Source organism: Homo sapiens, chromosome 12 (genome assembly GCF_000001405.40).
Source record: "Homo sapiens chromosome 12, GRCh38.p14 Primary Assembly".
Classification (NCBI taxonomy): domain Eukaryota; kingdom Metazoa; phylum Chordata; class Mammalia; order Primates; family Hominidae; genus Homo; species Homo sapiens.
Genome location: NC_000012.12, coordinates 14,558,051 through 14,576,705, shown reverse-complemented (window position 1 = coordinate 14,576,705; position 18,655 = coordinate 14,558,051). Strand labels below are relative to the sequence as shown.

The 18,655-nt window shown below is 42.7% G+C and overlaps 1 protein-coding gene and 1 long non-coding RNA gene across 2 annotated transcripts in view, besides 3 other annotated features; one reads left to right on the top strand and one right to left on the bottom strand.

Moving 5' to 3' along the window:
• Positions 1-8,974, bottom strand: part of PLBD1-AS1 (PLBD1 antisense RNA 1) — a 52,024-nt gene extending 43,050 nt beyond the window's left edge. Inside the window, exons 1-2 of the long non-coding RNA NR_120465.1 lie at positions 8,900-8,974; positions 8,514-8,687 (exon numbers count right to left, since the gene is read on the bottom strand). This is a non-coding gene — a long non-coding RNA (PLBD1 antisense RNA 1). The remainder of the gene's footprint in view (positions 1-8,513; positions 8,688-8,899) is intronic.
• PLBD1 (phospholipase B domain containing 1) overlaps positions 8,823-18,655 on the top strand; it is a 64,223-nt gene continuing 54,390 nt past the window's right edge. The window contains exon 1 of the mRNA NM_024829.6: positions 8,823-9,124. Within this exon, the coding sequence (NP_079105.4) occupies positions 9,010-9,124 (115 nt within the window). The 5' untranslated portion in view covers positions 8,823-9,009. The remainder of the gene's footprint in view (positions 9,125-18,655) is intronic.
• Positions 8,876-9,557: an enhancer, noted in NCBI's record as "H3K27ac-H3K4me1 hESC enhancer chr12:14720083-14720764 (GRCh37/hg19 assembly coordinates)". NCBI's record gives its function as "activates a minimal SCP1, AML or CMV promoter by ChIP-STARR-seq in primed H9 embryonic stem cells {active_cell/tissue: H9 hESC(primed)}" and the evidence as "EXISTENCE:reporter gene assay evidence [ECO:0000049][PMID:30033119]".
• Positions 8,953-9,062: a silencer, noted in NCBI's record as "silent region_4274". NCBI's record gives its function as "represses an Ori minimal core promoter by ATAC-STARR-seq in GM12878 lymphoblastoid cells {active_cell/tissue: GM12878}" and the evidence as "EXISTENCE:reporter gene assay evidence [ECO:0000049][PMID:35858748]".
• Positions 9,802-9,978: a silencer, noted in NCBI's record as "fragment chr12:14719662-14719838 (GRCh37/hg19 assembly coordinates)". NCBI's record gives its function as "represses an EF-1alpha promoter that drives an FKBP-Casp9 reporter gene in an ReSE screen in K562 erythroleukemia cells {active_cell/tissue: K562}" and the evidence as "EXISTENCE:reporter gene assay evidence [ECO:0000049][PMID:32094911]".

Genomic DNA, 18,655 nt, shown 5'->3' with positions numbered 1-18,655 from the left:
CATTTTAATCTTTTTATCTTTCCTCCTTCTTCTTGGAGAGCTTTATCAATTTGTCCTTGAAATTGAGTTAGCAATTTCAATTTTTTAACACTGTCAGTTTCTCCATTTTACTATTGTCTCCAATGGAAACGTTAATTTCCACTATTAAATTTTCAATTTTCTATCAACACTTTCTTATTCTACTCATCTTCCCTTTTCATCTCATGCATTTTCCTTATATCCTGTTTTTCTTTACAGATGTTTTGCTCTTGCAGGCCATGTTTGTTCATACTCTGTGGAAGATGTCAAAACATTTTCTAAAATATTATTTCATTTCCTTAAATTGGTAGTTTTAGAAATCTACCAAGATTACAAATCCAAGATTTCAAGACATGCCCCCTTTTTCTCATTCTGCGATATCTTTCAACGATTCCATGTCATGTTCATTCTTGTTTCTGATCATTCATCTTAAAATTAAAAGAGTTGGTAGACAGTGTGTTTCTCAACAGAGAGAGTATTCAAATGTCTTTTGGCACTGCTCCTCAGAACTCCTCAGAGGACAGTTGTAGAGAAGATTGATATGCACAGTTTCTAACTCAATTTCCTGTATCCAGGAGGTGTCTGTCCAGGCTGAAATGTGATCTTTTCCTAGAAACAAATTCTGGAGTTTTGAGCCTGGGTTTTATTTATTTATTTAGAGACAGGGTCTGGTTCTGTTGCCCAGGCTGGAGTGCAATGGCACACTCATAGCTCACTGCAGCCTAAAACTCCTGAGCTCAAGGGATCCTCTCACCTCACCTCAGCCTTTTGAGTAGATGGAACTAGGTCATGTGTCACCTCACCTAGCCAATCTTTTTTTTTTTTTTTTTTTTTGTGTGTGTGTGTGTGTGTGCGTAGAGATGGATCTTGCTATGTTGCCCAGTCTCATCTTGAACTCCTGGCCTCAAGTGATCCTTCTGCCTGAGCCTCCCAAAGTACTGGCATTACAGGCATGAACCACTAAGCCCAGCCAACCCTGGGTTATATTTAAATGTTAATTTCTAGCCACTTTTCAAGAATTGACTGCCTACAATTGTTCTTCTTACTGTCTTCATTAATCAGTAGCAGCCAGACTCATCAAATATTTATCAGGCACTTTTCATTTAGTCATTGTTATGCCAGTACCATTAAGGCTTAAATCCTTTCCTACAACCTGAAAGAAGAGCTGTGGATATTTAATATAGGAGTGTTTCACATCTACAGTCAAGGCTCAATACCACTAAGAAAGGATTATGTCTAGTTAACTGTTTGTATTTGGCATTTGTACTTTTTTTCTGTAGAATGAAGAGAAGATACTAAGATCGTAAACCTGGGAGAAGAAATGTAAATAGAGGAAGTTGGTGGCAGCTACTCAAGAATGCAGCCACACAATTTAGGAAAGAGCTAGAGGAAAAGGTTTAGGGAAATAATGAAAAAGGAACAATTAAGTAAAAATTGCATCCCTCAAGCAATGCAGAAAATGCTCTTGGCCCTAAAAGTATTCAGAAGTGCCTTTTTCAGCCTCTTTGAAGGTAAGGATGGGAAAGAAAAGCCTACCAGTAGGATAAAAAGTTCATAACTTTGTTGTCTCTAGAAAAATAATAGTAACAATAAACTGCTTAATCAGTATTCAGCTTGTACAGCAATTTCTTTCTTAACCTCTACCTCTCCTGCTGTAGTCAATCCATTCCTGATTCAAATCTCACCCCTAAAACCATGGTCCTAAAGCCAAGACATGCTATAACAGCCTTATAATCACTGACCAATGGCAGCCCCTCCTGTTGTACCCAATTTACAAGACACTCACAGGCCAGCAGCATGTATAAAGGACAGGCAAGTGCATAGATGAGAGGACAGACAGACAGGACAGACGGTTATAAGTGGTCAAGACAAGCTCCATAGGCATTGAGCCCAAACCTGGGATTTATGAAAAATGTTCGTTTTTTCTTTGATTCTGCAGCAACGTAGACTCAGTATTCTGATACTGATGGACCAAATGGTAAGCTTATTTTTCCATATACATATAAATATACATTTTTTTTTAATAGAGACAGGGTCTCACTACAGGGCCCAGGCTGGTCTCGAACTCCTGAGCAAAAATCATCCTCCCACCTTGGCCTCCCAAAGTTCTGGGATTACAGGCATGAGCCATGCTGCCTGGCCCTAAATCCCAAAGAGTAAATTTAACCACCAACACAACCTACACGCAATAATGGAGGAAAAAATAGAAAAGAAAAATCAATTACATAAGTAAATGTTCATAATTGTAGTTAGATGGTAGTCTAAAATATTATTCTACATATTTTTCTTTTCTTTTCTTTTCTTTTTTTTTTAAGATGGAGTCTCACTCTGTCACCCAGGCTAGAGTGCAGTGATGCAATCTCGGCTCACTGCAACCCCCGCCTCCTGGGTTCAAGCAATTCTCCTACCTCAGCCTCCCAAGTAGCTGGGACTACAGGTGCTCACCACCACGCCCGGCTAATTTTTGTATTTTTAGTAGAGACAGGGTTTCATCATATTGGCCAGGCTGGTCTCAATCTCCTGACTGAGTGATCCACCCACCTTGGTCTCCCAAAGTGCTGAGATTATAGGCGTGAGCCACCACACCCGGTTTACTCTACATATTTTTCTTTTGAGAAATTCTTATTTAACCTAGTAAATCTTTCACAGCTATATTTATTCCAAAAGGCAAAGGCTTATTGCTTAAGGGAGGAAAAAACAAAAATATCAGAAGACCAAAGGGTAAACTCTGTGGCTTTCTGAGACCTTGTGTGTACAGAGACAATAGTCTTCAAAGCCATGAAAACATAAGATCTATGAATCTGAAAGAGAAAAATGTTTTGAAATATCAAAACTTGGAAAATGGAAAAACAGACTGAAACAGAAGAGCATATGATATACTAAAGAACAATAAATTAGAATAACAATATATGTTAATGTTGAATTCGTTCCTGCCCACAGAAGTAAAAAGTTTGAAGAGCTGATGAGATAAATACATAATGGGTCGATGTGAAGGGTCTAGGACTGTCCTCCTCGTTAGCGGGGGAGTCATCTGTTTGATGGGTGAGGCAGAGTGTGGAAATGTTTGCTAATAGAAACTCAAAGTAGGTCTCTAATTACCAGAGCAGACATGTTTAAACTTTCCAGAACATACCCATAAAATTGCAAGCCTTGAATAGGACCCATATAATCCCACATGGCACCTGAGTTGTAAAGTAGCAATAACTGAGGGAGATGTTTGGGGAGATGAACCCAATGGCTGGCTCATTAATTGATGCACACTAGATCAGACTAGCTTTCAGGCCCTATTGCCACTCCCGCAGGGCTCAGAGGGGTTTGAGAATGAGCCAAACGACCCAAGAGTATCCAAGTCAGGATGAAGAGGTTGCCAAGTGTGTCAGAAACAGCTGGCTGCCTACCAGAAATGCGCGCTCTTACTTCCATACCGAGCAATGACATCCCAGGTAGAGGCTGCATTTCCCAGTCTTGTTAGCATAAAGATAGGGCAATATGTCTAGCTCTGCCAATGGAAGGTAAGCAGAAGTTATTAAGAAGCAGGGGTGCAGCCAAGCATGATGGCTCATGCCTGTAATCCCAGCACTTTGAGAGGCCGAGGTGGGTGGATCACCTGAGGTCAGGAGTTCTAGACCAGCCTGGCCAACATGAGAAAACCTGATCTCTACTAAAAACAAAAATTAGCCAGGCATCGTGGTGCATACCTGTAGTCCCAGCTACCCAGCTACTAGGGAGGCTGAGGCAGGAGAATCGCTTGAACCCGGGAATCGGAGATTGCAGTGAGCCGAGATAGGACCACTGCATTCCAGCCTGGGCGACAGAGTGAGACTCCATCTCAAAATATATATATATATATAAATAAAAACAAAAAAAGAAGAAGCAGGGGTGAGGGGTGCTTTTCTCTTCCCATCGCCAGAAGACAAGACTCCATAGCATTATGGTTCCCGCACACAGTTTGGCAACCACAGTGAATGCACAGAGTGTACCTGAGAATATAGTAAATACTCATGGGAAACAGTAGTAGCACAATACACTATAATCAATCAACGGAGCTCTCTGGGATACTTTAAATGTTTGAGGGACATGTAGCACCATCTGTAGGATACTGAGCAAATGACTACTATTGCATTGTGTGGCTCTAACTACTTAGTAAAAAGAACTGTTAGGTATTTCTTTTGGTCTGCAGCCCTAAAAATATATTACTGACACTCTACGGGCACTATAAACCAAGAAAGCATGGGAACTTCTGCCTTAGAGAATGACAGAGCCACAAGATGAAAGATAGGTGGGTTCTTAAATTTCTACATGGAGGAAAGCCACTTACTGATTAAGAACTCCCACACTGGACTGGCATACAAGACACCAATAAACTTTTGTTGCATTAATCCAATGAACTTTTGGAGTTTATCTGTCATCATAGCTAGCATTACATTAACTAATACACAGAGTATCTGGAAATCTAAATCCGAGGTCAAGGTAAAGCTGCAGATACCAACAGCAGATGCCTATGCACTACAATTCCTGCAGACCGAATGAGAAAAAAAGCTATATCTTAGTGGAGGCCACTAAGCCAAGAGTATGACTCACAGAGTAAATGTCCCTTATTTAGTACCAAGTCAATACATAAGCCCCCGAAGCTAAGGTCATCCTTAAGGAAAAATGGTAAGGACATAAAGAAGGCAAAGGACACTAAGGATTTGGTCCAAATGAAATTGCGCAACCTTAAATCTGGTATTTAAAAATTTTTACTGGTTGGACTCACACCTGTAATCCCAGCATTTTTGAAGGCCAAGGTGGGAGGATCACTTGAGCCCAGGAATTTGAGACCAGCCTGAGCAACATAGTGAGATCCTGTCTTACAAAAAATTAAAAAAAAAAAAAAATTACCATCAGTGGATGTGTTTGAATGCTAAGTTAATTACACTTTTTTGGAAAAGAAACAAATTTACATTTTGGATATTTCATTCTGGAACTGTAACTGTAAAATTTTCAATCCACCACATACATGTTACAGCAAGGAAAGAAATATAGAGGCCAATAGAGACCACTATCTTTGTTTCTGCAACTGGTCACCTGGCTATAGATAATTATATGTGACTTCTCTTCTCCACCTTTTTTCCATGTTCCCCTTGCTTTGGGCCAGCAACTCAGCTGCTGGGATTCTTTGCCCATTGGGATGAGGAGTCTGAGTCCCCAGTGGTGCTTCCCAGGTGAGATTATGCTCCCAGTCCTTTCATTTTGTTTTGGTTTTGGTTTTTTGAGATGGAATCTCTCTCTGTCATCCAGGCTGGAGTGCAGTGGTGCGATCTCAGCTCACTGCAACCTCTGCCTCCTGGGTTCAACTGATTCTCCTGCATCAGCCTCTCAAGTAGCTGGGATTACAGTCATGAGCCACTATGCCCAGCTAATTTTTGGTATTTTTAGTAGAGACGAGGTTTCACCATGTTGGCCAGGCTAGTCTCGAATTCCTGATCTCAAGTGATCCACCCAACTCGGCCTCCTGAAGTGCTGGGATTACAGGAGTGAGCCACCGCATCCAATGCTCCTACTCCTTTTGATAGTAAGGCAAAATTACCAATACTACAATCCTATTCTTAACCATTCAAACATATTTTTATGTTTTAAGAGGAGCTCAAAAAAGACCAATTGCAATTCAGTAATGCACTTTCAAATTCCAATTCAATAATACTTCCTTATTGTGTCTCCTGGTAGAAACACCTCCACCCTTGGCTCACCAAAAGTTGGCATTCCTGCACCAAAAGTTGGTACAGGAAGAGAATAATGGACGCTGAGTAGCCCCAAACCACACAAGTCCATTATAGAAGTGATGAGAACATTTCGCAGCTGGCATCTTTGGTTCTCCTCATTGCAGCTTTAGTATGTGAATCCAAAAAATCTGAGACAGGTCTCAGTCAATTTAGAAAGTTTATTTTGCCAAAGTTAAGGACACACCAGGGCCACAGCCTCAGGAGGTCCTGACAACATGTGCCTAACGTGGTCGGGGTACAGCTTACTTTTATACATTTTAGGGAGATATGAGACATCAGTCAATACGTGTAAGATGTACATTGGTTCAGTATGGTAAGGCGAGACAACTCAAAGTGGGGTATTCCATGTTAGAAGTAGAAAAGAGACAAAATGTTACATTCTTTTGAATCCTTGATCAGCCTTCCACAGAATACACAACTTAGTCTGGCCCAGGGAGTCTGCATTTTTACATAAACAATACTGCAGAGGAAGCAATCAGATGTGCATTTGTCTCAGGTGAGCCTCAGAGGGATGACTTTTAAGTTCTGTCTTCCCTTTGTCCACAGGGAATTTCCTTGTGGGCAAACTGTGAGGGAGGTATGTAGCTTCTTATCTTTGTAGCTATCTTATTTCAGAATAAAATGAGAGGCAGGTTTGCCTGACATAGTTTCCAGCTTGACTTTTCCCTTGGCTTAGTGATTTTGGGGTCCCAAGATTTATTTTCCTAACTATGTGTGAGTTTTGCAGCTCATTTTCCTCCCAGATATGTAAAACTGGCATAATTTAAAGAAAGCAAGATTTATCATCTAATTCAGTGATTCTCAACTAGGGGGCAATTTTGCCCCCCTACGGGAGCATTTGACAATGTCTGGAGACATTTTCAATGGGGGTGCCACTAGCATCCAGTAGGTAAAGGCCAAGGGGTGTCCAGGACAACCCCCCCACAACAAAGAGTTGTCTGCTCCAAAATTTCAATAGTGCTGATGTGGAGAAGTCCTGATCCAATTAATTTGTTTATATGTATAATTTGCTCCCCACTACTGGAATGCAAGCTCTGCAAGGGCAGGGACTTTGTTTTGTCTACTGCTCTGTGCTTGGAACATGGGAGTCAACGAATATTTGATGACAAATAATAGATGAATGAATGCCTCAAGGTTCACATTAGGCATTTATATGCATCTTACTTCATCAGAACACTTGGCTCCTTGGATCAGAAGGGTTAGTAAGGTGAAGGAGGGTGGTATAGGGCAATATGACTCAAATATTTGGGGTGGCACCACTTCCTTGAACATCCTAATGTGGTTCTCTTCCCATCATAACACAACCAAAATTTTCATTTTTGGTTCATTTTAATTTTCTAACTTGAAGGAAAATGTGCAACTTTTACAATGTCCTCGATGTCTTCATTTTAATTTTTCTTCATTTAAATTTTCTAACGAAGGAAAATGTGCAACTTTTACAATGTCCTCGATGTCTTCGTTTTAATTTTTCTTCATTTTAATTTTCTAACTTGAAGGAAAATGTGCAACTTTTACAATGTCCTCGATGTCTTCATTCATTAAATGCCATTAAACATAATTGTGACTTTAATTTTAATTAAATAAAAATGAGTTGGAGTCTCCCTGTGTGGCACAGGCTTGTCTTGAACTTTTGGGCTCCGGTGATCCTCCCACCTTGGCCTCCCAAAGTGTTGGGATTACAGGCATGAGCCATGGTGCCTGGACCACAAAATTGTGACTTGTGTTTCACAATTTGCACAGAGATTTGATGAACTTTTAGGTTCTTTATCTTTTCTAACAATTACATTTTCCCCGTTATGAAAGGTACTGCTTATTCTCTCTTCTCATCTCTCCTTGACACCTAGGTTAAGCTTAGAAGAAAGGCCAAGAGGAAGAGTGGGGTGCTGAGGTTCCCATCTGAGAGGTGGCTTGTTCCCTCCTTCCCCCTCTCCCACTGCACCTTAAACATAGCTCTAACACAGTAGAATGGCAAGTTCTGTGTACTTGTTTATCTATATGGCTTAGTTCTTTTTTAAAAAAATTATTATTGTTATTATTATTATTTTTTTTTGAGACGAATCTCGCTCTGTCGCCCAGGCTGGAGTAGAGTGGCGCGATCTCGGCTCACTGCAAGCTCCGCCTCCCGGGTTTACGCCATTCTCCTGCGTCAGCCTCCCAAGTAGCTGGACTACAGGCGCCCGCCACCGTGTCCGACTAATTTTTTGTATTTTTAGTAGAGACGGGGTTTCACCGTGTTAGCCAGGATGGCCTCGATATCCTGACCTCGTGATCTGCCCGCCTCGGCCTCCCAAAGTGCTGGGATTACAGGCGTGAGCCACGGCGCCCGGCTGGCTTAGTTCTTTTTGTCTGTGGTGAGGCATGCTCTTAGCTGTCTTTATATCACTGGTATCTGGAGTATAAGATGGGCCCAGCCAATGCTGAGTGAATGAATGAAATGCCTTTTGCCTACTTCACAATGTCACCTAGGGCACCCGGTGCCAACTTCACAATATCACCCAAGGCATAACTTTTGACTACTTCACAATGTCACTTTTAACTGACCCCACACAGAAATGGGGACTCCACAGAAACGTAGGAGTGTGTCTAGTGTCAGCCCCGTCTGAATCACTCTCCTGTGGTGGCTCCAGCCAACGAAGAGGAAGCAAAAAGGATAAAAAATCTGAGCTACAGCGCATGGATTTAGGTTAAACAGCCTGGGAATGAGGGGTACGCTAATCGCTGAGGAAAACGCACCTGTGGAGGCCTCTCCAGAAACAGCAGAGGATCCGAGCTGCGTGTAGGCAGGGCGCGCATGTCACCCTGGCCCGGGCGCCTGGTCCGCTGCTGGAGATAAATGGTCGACCCCGGAGGGAGAGGCTAGTAGGGGTGTTGATGTGAACTGATTCGCCCAAGCCTTGGGCCGCAAAACTGCGAAAGAAAGCGGCAGGCAGCCTCTGCATTTCCCAGAAGTGCAGCTGGGGAACTTTCCCAGACCGGCCCAGGGGTTGCTAGAGGGTCAGACGTAAAGGATCCGCCTTTCCTAGGCGGGGTGGGCCCCAGGCCACCACGTGAAGCGTCCTCGCCCCTCAGAGCCCGGAGCAGGCCGGGCTCAAGAAAGAGGAAAGTTGAGGACGCCCCACCTCGGAGAGGCGGCGCCCCTGAGTAGGCCAGGAGCCTCTCTTGCAACTTCTGCCACCGCGGGCCACCGCGGCCGCCTGATCCCGCAGAGGAAGGTCGCGGCCGTGGAGCGATGACCCGCGGCGGTCCGGGCGGGCGCCCGGGGCTGCCACAGCCGCCACCGCTTCTGCTGCTGCTGCTGCTGCTGCCGCTGTTGTTAGTCACCGCGGAGCCGCCGAAACCTGCAGGTGAGCAGAGCGCGCCCTGGGCGGGGGGCGCCCGGGGAGGCTCCTAGGAGCCTGTTAGCGCCCGTGCCCCGCGTCCGGCCGAGTTGACGTCCAGCGGGCGTCTGGTTCCTGGGTGAACTCAGAGAAACGCGCCTCCGGCCGGCGGTCTCGCTCCAGCCCTGCGGCTGCGCAGCGAGGGCACTTGAGAAGGGCATGGCGAGTGCGTCTGCCAACTTTACAAGTTTTGGCCCGAATTCTTGGCCAACAAATCGGTTCGCTCCTGCGCCGATTCTTGGCCCACAGAGCCTGGGCTGGTCTTAAAAACTCCAGCCAATGGGCATCTAAATATATTTATCCAGATTGTAGGGAGGTATGGTTCCGGCTTGCCATTTGTTTTGTGTTTTAAAAATTTACATTGACTTTGGCTTAAAATCACGATTGCACGATTGTCAGTTTGATACGTGCCTGGCAGTGGGCTTAAGGGCCTTTTGGTTTTGTTGTTGTTGTTGAGACAGAGTCGCTCTCTGTGGGCGACGCTGGAGTGCAATGGTGTGATCTCGGCTCACTGCAACTTCCGCCTCCCGGGTTCAAGCGATTCTCCTCCCTCAGCTTCCCAAGTAGCTGGGATTACAGGCGTCAGCCACCATGCCCAGCTAATTTGTGCATTATTAGTAGAGACGAGGTTTCACCATGTTGGACAGGCTGGTCTCGAACGCCTGACTCGGGCGATCCGCCTGCCTCGGCCTCCCAAAGTGCTGGGATTACAGGCATGAGCCACCGCGCCCGGCAGTTTTTTTTTTTTTTTTTTAATATATAATCCTAAATAGGATTATATTCCCCATTCTGCAGATGAGAAAAGTGAGATTGATCAGAAGTAATTCGCATAAAGATAACACAGCAAATAAGACAGAGTTAGGGGATGCCAGAGGGCATTTTCTTAACTACTTCCCTCTTGGAAAAACAGGTTTTATCTCTACAGGTATTCATGCAAATCTACATCCTTTGCCAAAATTAAATTAAATTAAATTAAAAAGCCTTGGATTTATGATTTCCGTTCCTAAGGAGGTGAAGATTATGAACTGTAACTAAGGGACTTGAAAGAATTCTAAAGTAATAATAAGAGAATTAATTTTGTCTTATTTCATAATCCCCTTTTCTGTGCTGACCTTGTACAAGAGTAGGGTGGGGCTTGGGGGAGGATGCCCCTTCCTAAATATGTGTACTGATTCTTATTACACTACCTTCCATCATCAAGAGCCTTCGTTTTTGAGACTTGCTTAGTTATCACTCTTCAATCTTAAATCTTTCCAGTCTGTGGGATCAGATGTACCCACAGGCTCCTGACTCGTGATTTTCTGTGTTCTTTGCCTAAACTATGGAGGTGGCCTTGGTGTCTACTTCTAGTCTAGGGAGACAGCTCATTCAGAGGTACCTGGGGGAGGCTGGGGAGGGTCCCAAAAGTGGAGGTAGCTTTTGTGTTTGGAATGCTGGCTAAAATCTTTATTCCTTTTCTGTTTTTTTGGACGAGTGAGATTAAGTGTTTTTGTAGGTGGAGGGGGCAGCCTGAGGAGTGAGACAGGCGTTGTTTTTCTGAAGATGGAGCACTATTTATTCAAGAAGGTACCACCTTGTAAGAAACTGCATCTTAAACAGTTCCTCCAACAGGAAGCTGACTCCATGCTTGGAGGTTCTGGAGCCAAGGCAGAAAGTAAGGACATTTCTGAGATGAAGTGATCCTGACAGCACCATGCCCAGCAATCTGGAAAGGATTCTTACTTACCTAGGTGTTAAGGACATCTGGTGATGCCACACTATTTCAGCAGATGAGATCTCTGTTTCCTTTGTCCTACCCACATTAATCTGTTTTCCCTTGAGGCTTTTTGGGTCTTTGTCTTTACCCTTCTACTAGCCTGCGAACAACCAAAGAGTAAAGAACTGGGACTTGCTACCTCTCACTTGTCATGTGTTCTCTGAAGTACCCAGCTCAGTACCCTGAACTTAGTAGGAATTCAGTAAACACTAAAGGGATTGCATGTCCATCCCCTTGGAATGGATTTTATATCCACTCATATGCATCTATCTATCCAAAAACAACTTCTTCAATTTTTAATTTTACTTTTTTTTTTTTTTACTATTATTTCCTATTATTTTTATTTTCCCCCCAGGCTGGGTACAGTGGCGTGATCTCGGCTCACTGCAACCTCCACCTCTTTGGTTCAAGCAATTCTCCTGACTCAGCCTCCCGAGTAGCTGGGATTACAGGCACACACCACCACGCCCAGCTAATTTTTATATTTTTTGTAGAGATGGGATTTCAACAGGTTGGACAGACTAGTCTCGAACTCCTGGCCTCAGGTGATCTGCCCGCCTCAGCCTCCCAAAGTGCAGGGATTACAGGTGTGAGCTACCATGCCCGGACACTTTTAGTTAATTCTTGCATATTCTTCAATTTGTAAAGGTTACTCTATAGTTTTATTATTCCAGAAGTTGACAAATAATTGCACAGTCATTCTAGCCAAATCTTTCAAGCTATGATTTCAGACATATGGTGTTGCGTTTATCTTTCCAGACCAAAAGCCCCATAATTGATTTTAGAAGGTCCTTATATAATTTTTTCTAAGTGGTATGTATAGAGAAGTCAGGTGGTCACTAGAGAAATAAATCATACCTTTATCTGGTTCTGAAAAAGTTTAACATCTTGGAAGTCATTCAGTCTCCATAAGGTGATTTGGCAGACCTATGATTGGAGTCAGTTTCAGTTGATCCTTTAACTCTGCAGACATTCTTTTAGGGTTGGCTGCTGAGAGACTCATAATATGGTATGTATATTGGTAAAACTGGTTCAGAATCTGGCCCTCGGCCTTGCAGGGCTAGACTCCAGAAATTCAGTCTTTCTACTGCTCCATATCTGATCACAGCTAAGAAAGCTGATTCACCCTGATATACACCCAAGTCTATTCATCAGACTTAGCATAATTTTTAGTTAGAAATATAACTGTCAGGCAGACTGGATATTTGTGAGGTCTGCTCTAGGCACTTTCTCACTGTAATCAAACCACATGGGGGTAGATAACATCACAGATTGTCAGGCTGGAGGCCTGATTTGTCTGTCTCCTGGTAGGCATCATACACTTGAGTCAGCCGAGAGAGTGCCCCTCCACTGCATGGTGCTTGCCTAGCATTGCTGGTCCCTGATTTTGGGACACTGCCTTTTCCACATTGCCATGGCTTACCAGTGTCCACTTGAGAATAACAGTTAATACCTTTATCTGGTTGTCAAAAAGTTTAATATCCTGGAACATTCAGTCTCCATAAGCTGATTTGGCAGACCTATGACTGGGGTCAATTTCAGTTGCTCCTTTAACTCTGCAGACATTCTTATTTATTCATTTATTTGGAGATAGGGCCTTGCTCTGTCACCCAGGCTGGAGTACAATGGTACGATCATAGCTCATTGCAGCCTCAGAGTAGATGGGACTACAGGTGCACACCACCACACTTGGCTAATTAAAAAAAAAAATTATTTGTAGAGATAGAGTCTCACTATGTTACCCAGATTGATCTCAAACTCTTGCTCGCAAGTGATCCTCCCACAGGTTCATTTCCCAAAGCCCTGGGGTTCAGGCGACCGCCACTGCACCTGGTCTCTGAGGACATTCTTATTTCCAAATTCATTCGACATAAGGCCTCACAGTTGCTCAGTATGTTCATTCTTTACACGGAAGTCCTTCATTCTTGGAAGTATAGTATTAGAGAGGTAACACAGAATTCCAGCAAGAGGAAATCCTTTGGAACCCTAATGCCTGTGTTTGAAGCCTGACTCCAACACTTGCCATGTGACCTTTAGTCAGTTATTTTCTCTATATGTACTTTGGTTTCCTCAACTGGAAGATGGGTATTATAAGTGTCTCTATCTCATGGGGCTGTTGTGAGAAACACTGTGCCTGACATGCAGTAAGTGCTGTATAATTGAGTGGCCACTGAAGTTGTTTTTCTCTAAAAAGTTATCATGTCTTGATAAGGCAGGCAGGATTGAAGATGATAATCCATGTGCTTTGAAGTAATTTTTTTTTTGTTGTTTTTTTGAGACAGAGTCTTGCTCTGTTGCCCAAGCTGGAGTGCAAAGGCGCGATCTTGGCTCCGTGCAACCTCCGCCTCCCAGGTTCAAGTGATTCTCATGCCTCAGCCTCCCGAGTAACTGGGATACAGGCATGCACCACCATGCCTGGTTGATTTTTGTATTTTTTGTAGAGATGAGGTTCACCATTTTGCCCAGGTTGGTCTCAAACTCCTGGCCTCAAGTGCATCGCCTGCCCTGGCCTCCCGAAGTGCTGAGATTACAGGTGTGAGCCATCGTGCCCAGTCCCAACTTGAACATTTTCTTGTGCTCTCCCTTTATCAACTTGTTTGCATAATGTACACAAGATAAATTCCAGAACAAAGTCTGAAGGAAGTGCCCACTTATCTTCATTATTAAACTTTGTTTCCTGGTCCTTCTGAAAACATAAATTTGGTAGCAAAGATAAAAATCTTTAGAAGAATATTTAAAAGGATCCTCCTTCAGTGTTTACATTGAAGTAAAACAATTTTTTTAAAAAAAATTCATGGTGGCTTATTTTTATAATATATATGCTAAGAAACATATGAACTTTGTCTTGAGTGTTGACATGCAGAAAAGAAATTTTTGTTTTCATACTTCTTTAGACATGAATTTTACATTGTCACTTGTTATCCTTTGCTTTTGTTAGATTTCACATTATAAGGCATTAACTATGGAGACAGCAAAATAAAAGAGGTAGTGGTACCCTTCATGGAATAAAACCAAAGGGATTTATTTTCTTCAGCATTTTAAGTAATTTTTATGCATTTAGGTTTTGCCTTTCAAAAAAATGGAATGGAGTCTAGTTTATACAACTTATATGTTACAATCTTTCGAACATCCAGCTTGAAAATGTGACTAGAAAATGTGTTAATAATGTTATTACGGAGCTTCTTTTTACTACTGCAAAACAGGAATTAATGTGGTAAAAAATGAAATAGAGGTAGTGAAATTATGGGGAAATTTTAGCTTAAGACTTGAAACACTGTCTACACAGATAACATAATCATGTTCAGTTACAGTCTTTTTTTTTTTTTTTTTTTTGAGAGGGAGTCTCACTCTGTCACTCAGGCTGGACCGCAGTGCTGCAATCTCAACTCACTGTGACCTCCACCTCCTGGGTTCCAGCGATCCTCCTACCTCAGCCTCCCAGGTAGCTGGGATTACAAGCATGTGCCACCGCACCTGGCTAATTTTTGTATTTTTAAGTAGAGACGGGAGTTTCACCATATTGGGCAGGTGGGTCTCAAACTCCTGACCTCAGGTGATCAGACTGCCTTGGCCTCCAAAGTGCTGGGATTACAGGCATGAGCTACCACACCTGGCCATGATACAGTCTTCCTAGAGAAAACTGTGGAAGTCTCTTGATTGAGAGAGATGAAAACAGAATGAGCACTTCAACGAAAGAGACAGGCTGGCTCTGAAATTTGTCCATCTGCCTTGCATATGCAGTAATAATTTCAGCATAAGGGAGTGTCAAGTTATTCACACCGGTGTTATTCTCTTTCAGGTCATTTGCAAACCTAGGACACCAAAGTTCTAATTCATAATTAGAAATCGAGAATGACTGTACTATCAAGTTTATATAACTTGATAAAGTCTGTCACCAGGTGTGACCTTCCCAGCCAGTGTGAAAGTTTGGGATCCAGGCCAGGTGCAGTGGCTCACGCCTGTAATCCCAAGACTTTGGGAGGTCAAGGCAGGCAGATCACCTTAGGTTGAGAGTTCGAGACCAGCCTGACCAACATGGACAAACCCCGTCTCTGCTAAAAATACAAAATTAGCCAGGTGTGGCGTGGCGCACGCTTGTGATCCCAGCTACTCAGGAGGCTGAGGCAGGAGAATTGCTTGAACCCGGGATGCGGAGGTTGCGGTGAGCCGAGACCGTGCCATTGCATTCCAGCCTTGGCAACAAGAGCGAAACTCTGTCTCAAAACAAAAGAAAGTTGGGGATCCAGGTGGCCACGTAATCCATAAAGCATTGTGCTAGGCCCAAGGGAGTGGATACAATGAAATGTGAGACTCCACCTCTCATCTGCAAGGAGCTTGTAATCAAATTTTTAGGACCAAGCAGACACAAATGCATAATTAATGAGTAATCTAGATGAGGACTGACCTAACAGCATGGAACCAGAATGGGGCAAAGTTGACTTTCAGCTGATAGGGCTTTTGGCAAGAACTCTGATTTCAGCTGCCAGTGACAAATCGGTATGTTTCAACGGGATGAAGGAAAGGGATCATTCCAGATCTAAGCAAATCTCCGGCATTTTTCTGCATTTGTGGATTGTTGTTTTGAAGCTAGTTTTTAAAGCTGTATCCCTTTCTACTTATCTAGTGTGTCCTGCACTTCCTGACCCTGAGGCCCACCTCACATCCTCTCACTTGCCTTTTATTTCCACTTCCTGCAGGTGATCTGAGGTGCCTCATCTCAACCTCACTGTAGAAATCTCTTAATTTCCACCTCAGGGCGTCTCTGAAATCACAGCCACTTAGTCCTGGAGCACATGCAGACATGGAGTGAGGGAGTTAACCCTTCCTAGGGCAACGTTTGACCTTTGTAGTATGGGAGCAGGTAGCTGGGTCCTCCATCCCTGGGATGAAGATTTCCGAGGCTAGTCCCAGTGGGATCAACCCCTGTGTCCACAGTGGAAACCAGCTCAGAATGCACCCTTCAATCGGTGTTCCTCCCTTTCACTCTCCCAGCCCACCACTCCTGTTCTCTGGAAGTACTTGCCAAAATAATCCTCCTTCCAGCAGGCATCTTAGTCTCTGATATCTGGAGAGAGCCAAGGCTTAAACACCTACTTGCAATTTTGTTTACTGGAGATTGTTTAATTTACAAATCAGTTATTTCGTTAGTGACTCCGATGAAGAGTCAAAACAAATCCAAAAACCAGGTATCAATTTACTGAGAGACCTTTCAAAGAAGGCAAGTGCAATGCCAAGGTACACAGAGGTATACTGAGAGACTAGCCGAGCAGACATAAAAGAGAAAAGCAATTCAAGGACCAAAACCAGTGAATTTTTAGCTAAACCCAATATGAATAGATTGTTTTCATTTTAATTTTTTTCTATTTTCTCCAACATCTTTTGCTTGATCTCTTTCTCATTTCTTTCTCTTTTTTTCCCCTCTGACTTCTGAATATATTAAGTAAACATTGCATTGCTTGGGGTTGAAAACTACCTGCTCTTTCATAAATGAGGTGCTAGAAAAATTATTATAGAATCCAAATATGGGAGAGAATAGTTTAAGCTACTTATGAGTATTTTATACATTTTTTTTCCTAAGACAGGGTAGGAATTTTTTCAACTGAAAACAATGAACTCATAGAAAATATTAATTGGGCTGGGCGCAGTGGCTCATGCCTGTAATCCCAGCACTTTGGGAGGCCAAGGCAGGCAAATCACCTGAGGTCAAGAGTTCGAGACCAGCCTGATCAACATGGAGAAACCCTGTCTGTACTAAAAATACAAAATTAGCCAGGCGTGGCGGCGCATGCCTGTAATCCCAGCAACTTGGGAGGCTGAGGCAGGAGAATCGCTTGAACCCGGGAGGCGGAGGCTGTGGTGAGCCAAGATCGCACCATTGCACTCCAGCCTGGGCAATAAGAGCGAAAACTCTGTCTCAAAAAAAAAAAAAATTAAATAAATAAAATATTAATCAGAGTATACAAGTAAATATTAATAAAATAAATTTAATTTTGGTGTTTGGGCTTTTACAGAGAGAAATATAAAAATGATGGCACATTTTCCATCTTTATTTATAGAAAAAAATACTTTTTATAAATAAGATTCCCATTCATTCAACAGATATTTAATCAAGTGCATTGATTTTGAGGATATTGCTGTTAAAATGTTTGAATTCTGACTTTTCCTTTTCACAACTCTAAAGAAAATACCAACAAATAGCTCTTGCTCTTGGGGCTGGGTAGACTTAATCCAAGATTCCGAGCCATTTAGTAAGTTTCTCACCCAGGCTTGAAAACATAATTACTTGAGTTATTTCATACTAACTTCTGTGAATGAGTGCTCTGATGAGCTTCCTTTTCTGGGAGGCTCAGGTAGGAGGATTGCTTGAACCCAGGAATTCCACTCTGTAGTGAGCTGTGATTGTGCCACTGCACTCCAGCCTGAGCAACAGAGCGAGACCCCAGCTCAAAAATAAATAATAAATAAATAAATAAATGGCTTTCTTTTCATTTAGAGAACACACACAAACTAGATTCATCAAAGAAACATTATTTTGTCAGGTTTATAGAGTGTTAAGCAGAAACAGTCCGCGCTTTCACAGAGCTTGTATAAAACTAGGTTTGCATTAGAATTATGTACTATTTTTCTACCTTTTCACTATTACATTTTTCATACCAGCCACCTCCCATCATGAAGATGTTTTTAAAAAATGGAAAAGTATAATGGCTTAAACTATTACAGGATTTAAGAAAATCAGAAAATAGCATGAATACTGGGAAAACCAGGAAGAGTTGAAACTTAGAGAAAACATTGAGGAATGGAGGACCTCGGTTGGAGTGGAGTGAAAACTCTGATTTTGGCTTTATTCTCAAAGCACATGCTAAGCTGTTGGCAGGACATTTTTCTCACCAAAATCTCTTGGGGATTGAGTAAAGGTTTTTTCATTCATGGAGGTACACGAGTGTCAAAAAAGCACATATTTGCAGAAGTTTCTTTTTGTGGTCAGGAAATTAGGTAGGACCAGCAACAGTGAAAACATAGCTCTTGGTTTAGTACTCAGGTTGCCTTGAGCAAGCCCCAAATTACAGCAAAAAGGAGTTGATTGGAAAGGGAAGGGGAAGGCAGGCCTGGGGTGCTTACGATGAGAAATGCCAAGGTTTTGGAGAAGAAGAAAAAGCTAAAATCATGCTTTGTGGGTAGAAAGAAAAGAGAAGAGACACACCTTCCTTTTTTCTTTTATGGTTCCTGTTTATGACTCTGCTTTTTATTCCAGCAGCCACACTTCCTCATTTCCCTACAACGCTCCCTGGAGTCGAGGGTGGAAGGGAATGTGTGAGAAAAGCTGGGGATATATGGTCAAAAATGGATTTGGAAAACACATTTATTGCCTTTGGGTGGAGAAGGGAAGTTTCTGTGGGTGCTGCCTACAATTGTCAAATTGTGGCCAAATGGCTCCATTAACAATCAGACAATTATTTGTCACCCGCAGTTTATTGGCAAATTATTTGACACCTCCCTATTTCTTAATGCCATTACTTCCGATTAACGATTGTGAAGGCCTGCCATGATGGTCATTGTACTCAGAAGTCAATTGACTTAGGCCTACTCAGATCATTCCTTAAGCGTTTAATCAGGATTAGTTTCTAAGCCTGACTAAGCCCCAGCCTATCACCGAGCCCCGGGAGCACGGTGCCATGATGCTCTAGTATTAAGACTCTACTTTTAGTGCATATTTGATAGACAGTCTTTTTTTTTTTTTTTTT